The sequence below is a fragment of the Homo sapiens genome, chromosome X (assembly GCF_000001405.40).
Source record: "Homo sapiens chromosome X, GRCh38.p14 Primary Assembly".
NCBI lineage: Eukaryota > Metazoa > Chordata > Mammalia > Primates > Hominidae > Homo > Homo sapiens.
In genome coordinates this window covers 11,434,146-11,451,520 of record NC_000023.11, presented here as the reverse complement: position 1 = coordinate 11,451,520, position 17,375 = coordinate 11,434,146, and the positions used below count along the sequence as shown (strand labels likewise).

Here is a 17,375-nt window from a genome sequence, read left to right as displayed (position 1 = left end):
ACTTGAGGAACCACGTTTGAATATTTATCATCAGTTGTAACTAAGGTTTTACTTCTTGAACTGTAATGCTTGAGTGGACTGATTGTTCTGTGAAAGCAATTAGCAAATCAAGTCAGATGGCACCAGAAAGCTGCACTGTGAACTCAAGGGGTACAGAAAATATACTCCGGCTTTGTTGCTATGGTAACAAGTGGTTCTCCTGCGTTTTAGTTCCATTATAGGCCATGGTGATAACAGTTTCTCTTTGGGTAATTATGAAAAATAAAGGAGAGAGAAAGAAAAGCCACATCTTGGTGTTTGCCCCTGCGTCTAACAGCTGCATTTTATTCCTGCAACTGTTAAGGGTATTGGAATGAATTCTTGTAAGGGGCAGCTATTGTGATAACTCTTCCCTGAGGATCCATGTGACATTGGCTTTATGAACACTTCCAATGTGTGCAGGTTACAGGGAGGCTAAGCATCCCTGGGCAAGCTATGCTGCACAGCCAGATCCACGAATGGGAATGCTGGGGTCTCTCACCTGCACTCATATTAACAGCCCTCTTGGTAATTCTCCAGCAAGATGCCATCCTTTGGACCAGTGGTTTGCAACGGAGGTCAGCGGTGGGGAAATGGGGGAGGATTTTGCCACCCAGGGGACATTTGATAATGCCTGGAGACATTTTGATTGTCACAACAATGGAGGGAGGTGTGCAAATGACATTTAGTGGACAGAGGCCCAGGGTACTGCTAAATGTTCTTCAATGCACAAGACAGCTAGCACCACATGGAGTTATCTGCCCACACCGGTTCATAGTGCTGAAGATTAGAAACCCTGCTTTGGACCATGATTTTCATCTTTTGGAATGGCTGGCATTCAGGAAGTACTAGCAGAACCAGTGTATGAATCTGATGCTGTAAAACGGATTTCTTCGGGGTGAGTTTTCTGTGACTTCTTAGAGGATGTCGGAGATGTTCAGCCTTGGAAGAACGTGCATTACAAAGGGCAGGCTCACCAGAGCCCTGCAGTGAAGGGCTCATCTCACACTAGCATGACTCAGAAGCCCAGCAGGCTCAGGTGCTCAGTTCCAGAAAAACATTTCTCTTCTCCTCATATTGTATTACTTGTTTAGAATTTCACGTAGGTAGCTGAGCACGTTGAAATGACACGTTTGTTGTATTTAGTTTGAACACCATATGTTGACGGGGCTGCAAGCCCAACAAGCTGTTTTTTTATAGGATTTCAGCTATCACCCTTTCATCAACCTGGGATCAAACATACAATAGATAGCAAAAGAACACACACACACACACACACACACACACACACACACACACTTATTATTTGTTCTACAAAGGGGATTTCAAGCATAAATCACTTATCACGCTCTATGCAAATATCAACGACCTGTCAGCTTACTTCTTATTTTTCTGGGAAGCTCTCCCTTAAAGGAGCAAGAACAAACTGCCTTGTTGTTGGTATCTAGGGGCTGTTCTGGTGACAACTGTGAGTGTCCATGGTCGTGGAATGTGCCCACTCATCAGCCATTTCTGTCAGGGTGAATATCTCACCTGTCACAGGGAAAGGATATCATACCTGTGTGTCTTAGAGTGTTCCCCAGCAGCATTGTGGAGCTTCACAGCCTGACATTTTTCTTCCTAGCCAAGATGTTTCTGACATGTCAGTCCACGTATGTTTACTCCCAGTTTTGCCTAAGGCGCCTATGATCACTGATGCCAGTCAGCTACAAATCATCCAGGAATCCTTCCAAATCCCTGGACCTTGATGCATCCATCTACTAAGGCTTTGTTAGCACATCTCCAGCAGTGTGCCAGCCCCTGTGCTGAAGGATGCAGATCTAAAAATCAGGAAGTTGTGGCTCATGCTTTCAGGGGAACTTGGTAAGGGAAAGAAGGCACATGTAGAAAATAAATGATGACTTTTAATCCAAGAGAAGGCATGTACAGGGGCAGCGTAGCCCAAAGAGGTAGGGGTGCATTGGCCTGTGGGTGTAGAGGAGGCTCCACTAGTGGAGGTGTGACTTTAGAGCTCGAGCCTAGAAGCCTAGTGAGAATGTGCCCAGGCGGGAGAGAAAAGCTGGGATGCATTCCTGGGAGCACAAACCAATGTGAGGTCTTCCAGGGACTCCCAAACAACACACAATGGCTGCCTGGATGTCAGATTTCTGTTGCTAATCAGATGTAATTGAACTGGCACTTGAGAAAGACAGTTTTGGCAGTGGAGAGTAAGCTATATGGATTGGGGCTTGCGAAGGTGGGGATGGCAGGCCAAAGCCAGGGAGACCAATGAATAAACCATTGGTGGTGAGGACACAAAGGAAATAAAACGTATAGATTCAAGAGAGAATTCTGACATGGGGCCCACTAGCCTTGGTGGCTTGTTGGGTTAGGGGCCAAAGGTGGTGTCTCAGCTGGCAGTGACAAAGGAAGGCTAGTGAAGAATACGCTTCTCATAGCTTTCACAACATCTTGTTCCCAGCTGCCCCAGAGAAGTATAGAAACCAAGTCAACAAAACTTACTCCCAGCCTCCCGCACCAAACTGTATTGCTGCATATAAAACCCTGGAGGCATCACTGGCCCCTGGCTTAGAAAATTGGATGAAGGTGAGACATTTCAATGAAACATACTTTATGGTAGGAGAGAAGTGTGGATAATGTTTGGTATTTCACATGATAAATTTGAGATGCCTGTGGAATGTACATGCAGGGGTGTCCAGGGAGCTTTTTGGTAGGAGCTCAGAGAAAGAGCTAAGATGAACGCACTCATTTGGGAGGAATTAAAGACTAGGCCAGTGGTTCCCAGCCCTGAGTGCATCATCTATGGGGCCTTTCAGAATCCCAATGTCCAGGCCCACCCCCAGACCAATTATATCACAACTATACAGCAGCATATTTTAAGGGATGGAGGAATAGTTCCCAGAAATCGTGCTGGTTCTCTGTGAGAGAAGAGGTAACTTTAAGTGGTGCCAGTTCATGCAGGGGCTTGAGAAAAGAAGTGGAGTGAGTACAGGCTAAAAGCTGCAAGTCCTGGAAGAGGAAGGAATGCAATGGACTGATGGCCAACCAGTGCTCTGAACCCCATCTGGGATAAGAATTGTGGATCTGTGTCTAGTCTGCATATTTGTGCACTCATTTTGCCCCAGTGTACTTACCATCCAACTTGAGGAAGGAGGGTATGGTGGTATGGTCTGAGACAACGGAAGGGCAAGAAGGGTTTCTGCAGCTGACTTTGGAATCCAGGCTGGATAAGGAAGGCACAAAAGTCAAGAGGGACTGATGATCCAGAAGAAAATCAAGTAAGGAGGAAGGATTGGAGGCTGTGCTCAAAGACTGGAATATTTGAGGTTAAGATTTCCAAGTGGTACAATTATAGTGGATGCATGACAGAGAGTGGCTGAATATGCTTTGAGGCGAAAGCTGTTCCAATTGAGGTGGAAAGCATAAGTGTGGAGAAGTATTTGTTTAGTCTTCTTGTACTCCTTTGTTCTAGAAGTCTGCCTTGGTTATTCCCAACTTCCTTAACATAAAGGCTGTCCAATGGTGACTGCAAGTGTTTTAACACAGCTGTCTTCTATAGAACGGGTTATTATTATATCTGTTATTTTAAAACACCCACCCTTGCATCAATAAATATACATGTCAACCAAATTCTTTATATTAATTGACAATTATTTATGAAAATTGCAATGCCTTAAGTGAAAAATTTGTGGAGCCAGCATCCCTTAGAAACACCTTTCTTGCTAGAACCATGTGTTCTTGCTTTGTGACTGTTTGCATGTTTTATTGCTAAGTCTGTAGATAACATTCTTTCTTGAAGATTATTAATTATGTATACAAGTACCCCTGTGTAAAAGTATTCACTTGGAAGAGACCCAGGAATCTAAGGCAGGGGCCAGCAAACTGTTCCTGTAAAAAGCCGAGAGTAAATATTTTCAGCTTTGCAGACTAGACAATCTCTGCCACAACTACTCAACTCTGCTTTTGTAACCTTAAAGCAAACATACAATACATGAATGAGTTGTGGCTGTGTTCCAATAAAACTTTATTTACAAAAATAGGCAGTGGGCTGGATTTGGTCTGAGAGCTGTAGTTTGTTGACCCCTGATCTAAGATAATAAAGGACTCTAGTGGATTATTTTTGTGGGAAGGTTTCCAAGTTCATATTTTAATTGATTTGACTTTTCAGTTTTGGCTTCAATAAAACCATTTAAATCATAGTTTGTTATGGTGCTATAGAAATGAAGTAACTTGTAAATGATGACACATGGAAGGTTCTAACTACAGATGGGTTTGTGGAAAACTAATAGGTCACGATATTCTGATGTAGACAGTCATCAGGCTTGTCATCTTAACTTACTCCCTTGAAGACTCAAGTACCTCCTCCCTCATCTTGGAGAAAGTGCGTGTCTGACGCTACAGTGTCATTTCCTTCAACCATGTAATCCATAGGCACAAGTGAAATGGTGTAATTCAATGTTGACTAGACCAATGACGGTATTCTAAACTATTTCCTTATGGAAATTCAGTGTCTTCTGGGAAAACTAACATTAGATTGCAAATCTGTTCCTAGCATTTAGAGACTCCTCATTAATAAGCACTTTTTTTAATAGTAAAATATGGCCTGGCCAAAAAAAATCTCTGACAAGATGTGAGACTCAATGTCGTTCTTATGATTTAGAAGATAGGCTGAAGTGAGATATACTTCCCTACAAATAAAATAGATATTCCTCAAAATGTCAATCGAAGTTATGTGGTTTCATTGTCTCTGTAAAGTATTTACATATTTGCAACTAAGGCCTATTAAATATTTATTATTAAGGTTGCCACCCTCTGAGGTGGTTTGATGTTTCAGTCAGGGCCCAGAGGTTTTTTTAATTTTTTTTCATCAGTCATTCTTTGGAATTAAATGTGTGCACGTTGGTAGGACAGAAAAGGAACGGAATGTCAGCTTTCTGCCAACAACTCTTCTGGCTACAAGAGAATTTCTCATTTTTTTTTCTTTTCAGTGTGAGTCACATGGAGAATTTATCTGAGGAGGGCATCAAAAGAAGGAGTGAAAAGCAATTAAGGAGAAAAAACACAGTTCCTTACATCCATGTTGGTCCATATTGGAAAATGAATACTGAGTATCATGGCTGGTTATCAATTTCTTTTCTTTCTAAAGCCCAATTACTGAATTTTTCACTTGGAACATGCCCAGATAAGATGGAACTTATTCAGGCTCCATTCTTAAAAAAAGATACCAGAAGTCATGATCTGCCTTTCTCACTCTGGACATGGAAATTCTCATCACAGTGGTCAGTTGAGGTGATTTCAAGGAATAATACCTGAAGGGATCCTTTAATTCAGGTTGTAGAACAAAAGCCCAAACAAATCATTAACAATAATTAACCTCTCAGATGTAATAAATTACTTTTCAATAAGTTAGTTTATTGAGAAATGTAATTTGAACATATATAATAACAACAGTCTGACACTAACTTCTGTACCCTCTGCTTGAAGCAACTGGGGAACTCTGACTGTGGTGTGATGGGAAGTTAACTTTACTCAACCTGTGAGACTGGGTCTTTCTTCTGAACCAACCACAGGGCATAAGGTTCATGCTGATGTGCTTTGGAATGTGCATGGCCCATCCTATCTATTTCTCTAGCTTCTGCTGGCTTTAATTCAGAGTTTCTCAACCTCAGCACTGTTGATATTTGGGCCACATGTGACAGGCCATCCTGTGCACTGTAGGATGTTTAACAGCATCCTTGGCATCTACCCACTAGATGCCAGTAGTGCCCAACCCCTGACCCTCGTCACGACAACCAAAATGTCCCCACACATTGCCCAATGTCCTCTGGGAGGCAGAATCACCCTGGTTGAAACCACTGCCCTAATAAGATGTTGCAAAGTTCCAGATTTGATATCATTGAACTGATATTCTAAAAAGCATTGGCTACATCTGCATGCTGCTGCCCTAGGCTTCTCTTGACATATTTGATCTCAACTTTGCATTGAGTCTTGGAGGGAAGGGGCAATGTGTGTAGGATGTCCACACATCTAGGTTTGCCTAGGATAATCCAGTTTTTGTCTGTCATCTGGATGTAATTATTAAGTAGCACCACCTTGAAAAGTGACACAGTAAGAGTGAAAATTATCTGGCCCCCATGTGGTCTTGGAAAATGGGGAAGAGTTTTAAGAGTTCTTACAATGTCAGAAAACTTTTACCTTGCAGAGGTTTTTGATGCCTTCCTGTCCTATTTTAAGAGCCTGGGAATTCAACTATTTCATGCCCATATGGACCACATATTCAAGTCTTCAGCCTTAACTCTTAACAGCTTCAGTTTTTGTCCAAGTAGGCAAAGTGAGCTCAGACAACAAGGAAAAGAACAGTGCTTTTAAAAGAATGTTCTTCTCAATAAAAATAAATTCTAAAGTTCTAAGTAGGGAGTTACTGCTGAGTTTATAATGGCTTTCATATTTGCTTTTACAATCACAGTATTGCTGGGCTCAGGCTTCCTGCTTGGAAAAGTGCTTTGCAATGCTTCAGACAGAAGAGAATGATTTTAGAACAGGCTGGGCTATGAAACAAGAGAGTTGAAGAAGCCCGAAGTGGTTTGAAAGCAGTCATTCCTTTGGTGTTAAAGATAGGGGAAAAAAGATTGTTCCCCCTTATTAAATCCTGTCACATGTAGACAAGAGTGCTTGTTAAAGCCTCGAGTGGACATTTGCATTGTGTGGTTCTCTGGTGTGTACCTTTGCTAAAATAAGTATGCAAAAGTCTCCAGGTAGTAATATGCCCTTGACCCTGTAATCAGAATCGGTCTCTCACCTGGAAATGTGAAGACAAGATGTTTGGCTAGTAATGAAGGTAAGATAATCATGTGGGACCACACCATTCAAAAGGTTGTCTCATGCTCACAAGATGAATGCTATATTTCCAGCCATCATGCCCATGTATCAGACAGAAAGAATAAGGAAGAGGGGAGCTCAAAAGGGCATCCTTGCTGAGACAGCTTCCCAAAATTACTGAAGCCCTCAACCTAACACTTGCTCTCCAATATCGATAGTTTTTTCAGCCAGGTATTTTTACCACCTCCTTCAGTATTATCTTACCAATGAATGACAGGAGAATGGATATTGGGTAGACAATTAGCAAGCTCTGGTATATAGCCCAACTTTTGCTAATGTTTAAAAGTCAAAACCACACAAATCTTCTAAACCAGTGGTCAACATTCGCTGCCTGTGGACTAAATTCAGCCCGCTGACTGTTTTGGTAAATAAAGTTTTATTGGGACACAACCACACCCCTTCATTTACATATGGTCTGTGGCTGCTTTTGTGCTGTCAAACAGAATAGTTGTGACACAGACTGTATATATGACCTCCGAAGTCTAAAATGTGGTCTCTCTGGCCCTTTATAGGGAAATGTTGCCAACCTCTGTTCTAAACAGATAACTCAATGAAAAAAATGGGCAGAAGACATGAACAGACACTTTACAAAGAGGATATCCAAAGACCAATAAGCACATGAACAGGTGTTCCAACTCATTAGTCACCAGGAAATATTTTTTTTTTTTTGGTTTTCTTTTTTGTTTTGTTTTGTTTGAGACGGAGTCTCGCTCTGTCACCCAGGCTGGAGTGCGGTGGCACAATCTCAGCTCACTGCAAGTTCTGCCTCCCAGGTTCATGCCATTCTCCTGCCTCAGCCTCCCGAGTAGCTGAGACTGCAGGTGCCTGCCACCATGACCGGCTAATTTTTTGTATTTTTAGTAGAGATGAGGTTTCACCATGTTAGCCAGGATGGTCTCGATCTCCTGACCTCGTGATCCACCCACTTCGGCCTCCCAAAGTACTGGGATTACAGGCGTGAGCCACCGCACCTGGTAGGAAATGTTAATTTAAACCACAGTGGGATGGCACTGCTTTCCCATCAGAATGGCTATAATCAAGAAATAAAGAGAGAGCTGACAATATCAAGCATTGCATTAATATGGGACAACTGGAACTCTTGTACATTGCTGGTGGCACTGTGGGTTGGTATAAAGACTTTGAGAAGCTGTTGGGCAGTGTCTACTAAAGTAGAACATATGTCCCCCTCTGTGATGGAGCCATTCCACTCTCAGGTATACGCCCAACAGAAATGCCTACGTATATTCACCAAAAGGGATGGACCAGAATGTTCACGTTGGCACTATTTATTAATAATCCAAAGTTGGTAACAACCAAAATGTCTATCAACAATAGAAAAGGGAAAACTGTGTTTTATTCATATGATGGAATACTTTTAGCGATGAAGAGGAGTCTCGCTACCTGCTACAACATATAATATTGACAAGAGAAACCAGACAAAAAAGACTGATTCTGTGGCCTTAAAGTTCAGAAACAGGCAAACAGATCAATGGTGTTTGAAGTCAGAATATGGTTCCTTTTAGGGGTAGAGATCAGGAGAGGACTCTTCATGATTTGGGTGGTCGTTATACAGGGGGTTCACTTTGGCAAAATGCAGAGTTGTACACTTATGAGTTCAGAATTTTTCTGCTTATATATTGTATTTCAATAAAGAGTTTCAAAAACAGAAAAAAGAATGCACATCTCTTTAATGATAGAAATGTATCAGCATTGCTCTCAGCCAGTTTTCTATTGAAAATGATGCCTATGACATGTCCCTCATGAAACAACCACATAATTAGCCCTGGCCCTTTGGATTCTAGTCTTATTCACAAATGGAATAAATTTTCTGTTTTCAGATTTTTGCATTTGACTACGTCTACCCTGACAGTGTGACTGACTAGGTGGTCTCAGCTCCACACACCCCATGGCAAAAATAAAAAGGTTGTGTCTAAACTGCAGTGGATTAACCCACTGAGCAGACTGCGTGCTCCTGGGCTTTCTTGCCAAAGGAGAGAGCAAAGGATGCAAAGAAGCTGAATGTGGAATTTATGGACCCTAAGAAGGCAATTTGGAAGGATTTTTTCCCCCGTTTCTGTTTAGTCTTAACTTCGTGAAATTGTAAAGAAGTGCTGGAGACTGGGGGAGCTGTTTGTATGCAAAGTGTTGTCTGCCTCAGTTGTGCTCCTGAATTTTGACTGGCTGCCCAGTCTTATGTGGGAAGCTGAATAAAATGTGTATACTTCTAAAAAAAATCAATTTTAGATTTTACAAAAGGAGTCAAATATTATTACTCCCAAAGGAAGAATTGAGGCAGTTTTTTTTTTTTTTAAGAAGAGGGTCAGAAGAAACAGCCAGGTCTTTTTTAAAAATCACCCATATTTTTTGGCTGACATATTCAGTTAAATTTGTCCCCTCTCATTGATGCCGGTGGGGAGTTATAAAGGAAAGAAAAATATTAAATGCTAAAAATGAATAGAAGGGATGTAATAATCCAAGAATTAGGGCAATTGATGACAATTTTTTAAAGACACTGCTGTAAATGAAATTTAAATAACTGTAAAGCTAGATATTCAATCCAATAGTTATATACATAAGATGTACTAGTTATTGTTTCATAATTATCCAGAATCTTTCATTTAAAAATATCATTTTATGTTTCTTAGACTGTATATGTGTATATGTTACGTATATGTGTGTATATATATTTCAAATACATATGTGTAGAAATTCATGAGATTTTTTTTTAAGTTACCATCCTCCAAAGGAAAAAAAAAAAACCTGGCAAGTGATGAGAAGGAATTGGAGCTGTGTACAAGAATCTTAGAAGATTTAGGTGATCTCAATGCAGCCTCCCAGGTCTCGTGTAGCACCTAAAAGGATCATTTTTTAAAAAGAAATCCAAATATTAGTTTAGGAGAAAACACAGAAAATCTCATGACTCTCGATTTTGTGAAAATTAAAATCTGACAGTAGAAAGCAAAGTGGCATGGCCCCTGTGCTTGGGTTACCGCTGCTTCCCAAGGGGCTCCTTAGGGAAATAACTTCCCTGTTCCTTCTCTTTTTTACTTGGCAGTCCCAGGAGGACAGTTGAGTTGGGGGACTAGGGGCATTGGAACAAGTGTGTCCTTGCCAGGCTCCTGTGGTTGGCTGCTAGTTGGGCTTCTCACTTTGTGAACCAAAACGTTTGGAGAGTCTTGTCTTAGGAAAAGCAAATTATTCTGCCCCGTGATGTCCCTTCAGTGTGGAAACATCAAGGAGATAGATCTCACTGATAACAGAGTTGATCAGGGGAGAGTATGCAAAGACAAGACCCAATTATCAAAGCACAGCCTTTTTAAAGGGTTTTGAGTAGATTGCACTTGTTTTGGTGAGAAACCAAATTAGAGAGTTCTGCCTCCTAAACTCTACATAGACTAATGTGTTCTTGGGAAGCACCCCTGCTCTGGGAGTCGCATTTACCTCTTGGTCATACTGAATTCCTTCGTAGGAGGGCCTTTGATATATTTATTCTGTAACCAAAAATGGCAGCCCTGAGATTGGAGAGCATCCCTTTGATTTCCTGTGGACTGTCCTTTTCTGGAGATATGGTTTGTTCTTTCCTAAGGGTCGGAATTATGATTCTGAAAAGTTTTGCTTTTGAAATACTACATCACAGTGTCCTAATGAGAATGGTGAGCCATCTGCAGCATTCAGCACTTGGGCATGGCAATCAAATCTGGGCCCGATGAATGATTATGTTATATAAATCACCAGGTTCCTCCAGGCAGCAGTCATTGCCATTGTAATTGATTCCTGATGAGACTGTTTCTTGATTTGCTGGTGCTGTAACCACTGATGCTGATTGTTCTCATCTCCTGAAATTGTATTTAGTAACAGCATTCAACAAATATTACTCAAGTGGTTATTGTATATGGGACCAGGCTCTGGGGTTAAAAAATGAGTATGGCAGCCCTGTCTTTGAGGAGACAAGTGTTTCAGGAGGAAACAGACAAGATGAGCATCCTAACAGAGGTACGAACAGGAAGCTAGCAAAGCTCCTATTGGAGGGTGGTGAGGTGAATCGGGGAATGTCCCTCCAGAAAATCCAGAGAGGCTAATGGGAGTTACACAGGCAAAGGAGAAATGGAAGGGAGGTGACAGAGGAAGTAGAGCATTATAGGTGGAGGGAAATTTCTCCTTGAAAACAAAGGAATCACATTCAATGTGTGACCTAGAATTTCAGTGGGCATCTCCTCTGGCAAGAAATTGAGTAGAAGGATGGCTGCATTTTGGAATGTTCAAAGTGTGGAGAGGATGCTATGTGTACTGTAGTAAGTGCAAAACAATGGGTTGGATTTTTAAAAATTTTATGTACACACATATTTATCTATATAGTATGACGTGACATAGAAGTTACAGCCTGTTGAAAAGTTTATGCCATAAAAATAACAATTCGAGTTCACTTCCTGTGAGTGGCCTAGGGTTTTTAAGACAAGGAAGAATAATAGGATGTCAAGGGCCAAATATAGACATGGATGTTTTAGAATCCTTTGCTTTTCTGATCTCAGAGCATGTGGCATTTGGTGTAATTGAATCCAGGACAGATGGGTGCAAGCCCCATTCAACTTTGGAGGGAAACCAATTAACAAGCATGTGTCCAAATGTAGGATTAAACTTGCAAGGCAAGCGAGTGGCTTCCAATAACACTTAGGAAACACTAATTAGTGAGAGGGAAATACTTTGTCAAATGGTTTGAGAATAGTAAATACAAATGCAACAAGGGAACATTGTTTTTAGTTACAATTTATATTGTTCTAGAAGAAATGGGGCTGCAGGTGCTTTCTACAGACAAAATGAATCCCAAATACATTTACCTAAGGCTTCTAGAAATAATACAAATGTGTCTTTAAAAGCTCAGATACATAAAGCAGTAGCATCCAATTTGGAAGTCCTCTTGATCTAAGCAGTCTGGTTTCTCTTTGGTAAGTTGCCTGTTTCCAGACTATAAATGAAACAAAATAATCACTATGTTAATAGAGATGAATATATGGAAGATAATTTTTTTTTCTTTTGGGCTTATAAAACTCCAGGAGGGAAAAGATGAAAGCCAAAAGTAGAAAAAGATTCAAAGGAAACAAATTGCAATTTTAGTTTTCTAAATCAGGGGTGGGTGAACATTTTCTGCAAAAGGCCAGATATTTTAGGTTTAGTGAACATGCAGTTGGTCTCTGGCAACTGCTCACCTCTGCTGGTGTAGTGAGAAAGCAGTCATAGACAAGTAAGTAAACGAATGGGTGTGACTATGTTCCAAGAAGACTTTATTTATGGATGTTGAAATTTGTATTTCATGTAATTTTCATTTCATAAAATGTTATTCCTTTAATTTTTTCCAACCACTTAAAAATGTAAAAACAATTTTACTCACCCTGTGCTAGATCTGAGACAATTATCTCCCCACAGGTTTGTTCTGTTAGAAAGTCCTTGGTTGAAAAGCAACATGCTTTCCTTTTAAAGTTTTCATAAATTTATTAAATAATGATGTTTTCCCCCACTGGTGTTTTCCTAGGTTTTTCTAGAATGCTCTGTGCTCTCGTAACACTTTCTAACATCTGTTGTCATCATGCATTTATTAAGCACTCACCATGAACTGAAATGCTGAGGACAGACGTCAGAGGAAAAGAAAATATTAGCAATAGAAAGTGGTACAGAAGCTCCTCTATTTATGGAATTTCAACTCGTGCACTTTCAGAGATACAAACAAAACCATACTCTGGAGCAAAGCCCTCTGGCTCTCTCTTCACCACCAAAATATGCGTCAAGAGGTTCTGGGACCTCTTTTATTTTCTGCCCTTTTTAAAAAGAATTTCTCATTTTTCAGTCTATGGAATATTTGCTGTCTTTCTGCTAGGTGTTGAGGAATTTTGCCAGGAACCCCATCTTATGTGATAACCTCAGAGGACTTGAAAGAAGAAAGTGCTAGTAAGAAGTAGTAGAAGTAAAGGCAAGATAGAAACAATTTCTTTTTAATTGAAATAGGTCAGAAAAACTGTTGTAAGCCCTTTGGCAGGAAGAATGATTTTGAGGACAAAGATCCCATCATACAACCTGAGAGAAGCTCTGTACTTGTGTAATAATAGCAAACATTGATACAGAGCTTCTATGTGCCTGGCTGTGTTTTAAGTGATTACACGATCACATGAGTGTGCATGTACACTAATTTAATCACCACCAAAAAAGTGTTAATCAACTAATGAGCTCACGAAATGATTGATGAAACAGTGAAATTTGAACGTGGCTCCGGAATTAGCATCGTAGGCCTATTTGTGTTAATTTAAGAGAAGGAAACAAATCTGGTAAGTGTACCCGGTCATGGATGGTTCCATGGGTTTGCAGCTTTTGGCATCTGCCCAACCTTAAAGTAAGAGGCAGAACAGCAATGCTATTTTGGAGTAATATTACGGATGCTAAAGCTGTTGAGGAATTCCCTGTGGTGCTTGTGGGCAGATTACCCATTTCAGAAGATTTTCGGTGTATGAAATGAAACAGATCGAATGTAGGCAAAGATGTCAGTCAAAGCATTTATCAGTAAGGAGGAGTACGAAAAGACCGACTCATACCTCACCCAGGTGGAAATCTGGAGGTTGCAAGCTTCTACCCTGTTCAAGACCTCTGGACGTAGGAACAAGGTCATACATAGCCTTTAGAGCTTAACATGTATTCAACCAAAAAGCACAGTGGACTCTGTCTGTGCTCTGCCCGGAATATCTCAGATCTTTTACCAGTTCTGTGTGCCTGTCCCATTCACCAGCTTCTGTGTAGTTTTGCTTCTAATGACCAACATCTGTGAGCACTCTGTGGGGTTCTGGAGCAGTTGCCCTATATTCACAAAGAGCAGGAAGTGCCTGGGAGTTTACATCACCCTGGGGGCGGGGCGTCCCACAGCCCATGACTGACTGATGTGTGTGAAAATATTAAAGTCCAAATTCTTTGGCGAAGGCGGGACAAAGTTTAGATGTAATTAATACCCCAGAGCTTCCCTCAGGACCAGACTGAGACTGGGACTTTGCTAGAAATCACACCCTTACTTGGCTTTATTCCCTTCCCTACCCTGTTATGCTCACCCCTTACCAGTTTCTCCTGGGAACAGGTTCTTAATAAATCAATTGCACATCAGTCTTTATCTTAGTATCTGCTTCTGAGGAACTCTACCTAAAGCAACAAGCACATATATTATTAAGACAGAGAAATATCGTAAGGCTTTACCTTAAGTCAGCAATGAAATATTGAATGAAAGAATGGACTGAATGAATTGATAGAAGCCAGCTTTGCACTACTCATGTTGCAGTTAGGGAAACAGAAAAAGGATAAAATATTGAAACAGTGACTGTTACATTTTAGAGTTTGAAGGGCGTATAGTGAGACTGCCCACATAGTGCAGCCTCTCTGGCTGATGGTAATCTAGGTTCAGCTTACATATGGCCAGGGAAGAAGATACTACCACCTCCTGGGACTGTTGCCTTCCATCTAGATTTGTTATAAAGTCAGTCCTTCCTTCCTCTTTCCCTTTCTCCCTCCCTCCCTTTCTTCCTTCCTTATTTCCTTCCTTCTACTTTATGGAGGTAAAATTCACATGCCATACAAGTCATTCATTTAAAGTGAACAATTCCTTGGTCTTTAACATATTCAAAGTTGGGTAACCACTATTAACATAAATTTCAGAACATTTTCATCACCCTGTAAAGAAACACTGTACCCTTTAGCTATCCCCCCCTCAACTCCTCAACCCCCAAGCTCTGCAGTCCTAGGCAACCCGACATCTACTCTGTGGATTTGCTTATTCTTGACATTTTGTATAAATGAAATAATATAATATGTGGTCTTTTGTGACTGACTTCTTTCAATTAGCTTACAATTTTCGAGGTTCATCTACGTTTTATCAGTATTTCATTCCTTTTAATGGCCAAGTAATCTTTCATTGTATGGATAGATCATATTTTGTTTATTCATTCATCAGTTGATGGAAATTTGGTTTGTTTGTACCTTTTGGCCATTATGAATAATTCTACCATAAACATATGTATACAAGTTTTTGTGGACATATGTTTTCATTTCTCTTGGCTATATACCTAGGAGTAGAATTGCTAAGTCAGATACAGAAAGTTCTTTCTTATATTCAGACAAAATCTGAGTCTCCTTAACTTCCACACTTGGTACTTATCCAGCTTTCTGAAGAAATATGGACAAGACTTTCTTATGTATGACATCCCCTCAAATTATTCATCATCTTTATGTCCTCCTTCAACTTTCAAAGACTGAATATCTTCTGTTCTTTCAATCATTCCACTGCAAAAATGGGACTTACAGAAATGCAAACTGATAGCTTTGAGGTTGTCATATTATCTGTTATAATGTACAAAACAGCTTTCTTTTGTTCCAAATCTCAGACTTTCCCATCAACAACAGGGAACAAGTGGCTAAGTTTATTTTGCTAAGATAAGAGAAAACAAATTATTTTCTGGGTAAGAAGGCTTTTCGATAGACTCTGCATGGGTTTTCCCTTTGGAAAATCAAGAGGACTAATGATTTGTGTAGTTTATGTATACATTTGTCATTTCTTGACATGTTAATGTGAGAAAAAATTTTGTGCTTCTGAAAAATAAAATTGGATGGAAATCAATTATCTTAAGAGCTTTAAAAGAAATCACGTGTAGCATTCTTTTTATTCTTAGTCATGAAGACAATGGGGAGAAAACTTGACAAAACCACAGGAAAATGTAGCAAGTTACTTAGCAGGCTCTGGGTTGTGCTGAACTGGGCCAAATGTTATGGTCATTTCTTCTTCTGTAGCTATGAATGGATCTAATCCTTGCTTGTTAGTCATACACTTAGGACTATTTTCCACCTTCTTTTAACATTAAATCCAGAGCTCAGGATGGCTTCTGACTTTGTCTCATGCTATCTGCATGACGTTGGACAAATCACCCGGCCTTTATGAGTTTCAGTTTCTGCATCATACTACCACTACATCAGTGGCTTTCAAACTGTGTTGCACGGGATAACAACCAAAGAATCTCACTAAAAATGTCAATGGTGTGGTGCTGCAAGGAATTGTGCAAGTAGGCTCTGGGGAGGTCCTCAAAATCTATTTTTAAAAACCCACCCAAGTGATGCTGATGCCCATGGTCCTGAAGACCATACCTTCAAAAACACTGACTAGCCATTTCCTTCTGGTCCCTCTTCCTCTTGTTCTGTATTCCACTGAAAGGGAGAAGAAATCTTATTATCTTTCCAGGTAATATCTTTTCATCTGTGCTGTGTGCAAGGACATGAAGGAAGACAACTAAAGTTGAAATAATGAAAAAAGTCCCAGTCTGATGCTTAGATTCTGATTTATTAGAATTATTTTGACCATAACAATTTTAACCATAAAGTAGGGTTTCTTAACCTTGGTACTATTGACATTTGGGACCAGATCATTCTTTGCCTTGTGTGTGGGAGGCTGTCCTGTGCATTGTAGGAAGTTGAGCAGCATATCTGGCCTCTACCTAGTAGATACCAGTAGCATCTCCCCCTCCCTCCAAGTTACAGCAACCAGATATGCCTCCAGATATTGTCAAATGCACCCTAAGGGGCAAATCTGCCCCTGGCTGAGAACCACCTTCATAAGGCATGGTCCCCAAAGAAAATAATCAAGAAATTAGGCTTGGAGCAGTTTTCTTCGGTTGGTTCTTACTGCACAGCAAGGCAAAGAAGGCCCTGCTAAACTGTTGGTTCTTGACCTTTATGTACCAAGCATTCCTGGGGGATCTGGAACTCCCTGGCTCATCCTCTCTATTTGCTGGATTAATGGGATACAGACAGTTTAAGTGACTTGGCAGGAGAAGGACATTCTGTTTTATTCTCCTCATTTTATTACACTCCTGACAACGAATTCTTAACATTTGCCTTATATGTTCTGCTCCCTATCATTATCACAAGATAGATTAGTTGGCGGGGGGAGGGGAGGGAAACCAATATATGCAAAATTGCTTTGAAACCTGCAGGCACCAGAGTAATGCCAGGTGTCATCATTCATCCTACTCCTGAGCCTCTGAAGCCAGGGGTTTCTTGAGGTTATAAAAGTGGTTTTTTTAGGGGGGTGACTAGTCAAGCACTCCAAAGAACTCCAGAGTGGTCAGTTTTGATCACACAGATGGCCAATTTTTACCCAGTCTGTTAGCCTTTTAACAACACACAGTGTTGCGTGGAGACCCACTTGTGTATGGGTCTTCAACGATGGGTGGAGACCCAGGGCTCAGCTCTACTCTTCTGCTCTGGAGAACTTTCTCTTTGTTTTCTTGGGTGGTGCAAGACCTACTTCACTGAAAGAAAATGTGTTGTTGGTGTGAGAGGTACTGCTAAGTGGAAATTATTAAAGGATGAATTCCTTATGTCTGTGAAAGATTTCTCCGCCTTGGCACTCTAGACATTTGGGACCAGAACTTTCTTTGTTGTGAAGGCCGTCCTGTGCAGTGCAG

The 17,375-nt window shown here is 40.6% G+C and overlaps 1 protein-coding gene across 3 annotated transcripts in view; it reads left to right on the top strand.

The window, feature by feature from the left end:
* Positions 1-17,375, top strand: part of ARHGAP6 (Rho GTPase activating protein 6) — a 528,377-nt gene that overhangs the window by 214,400 nt on the left and 296,602 nt on the right. The window lies entirely within an intron of this gene.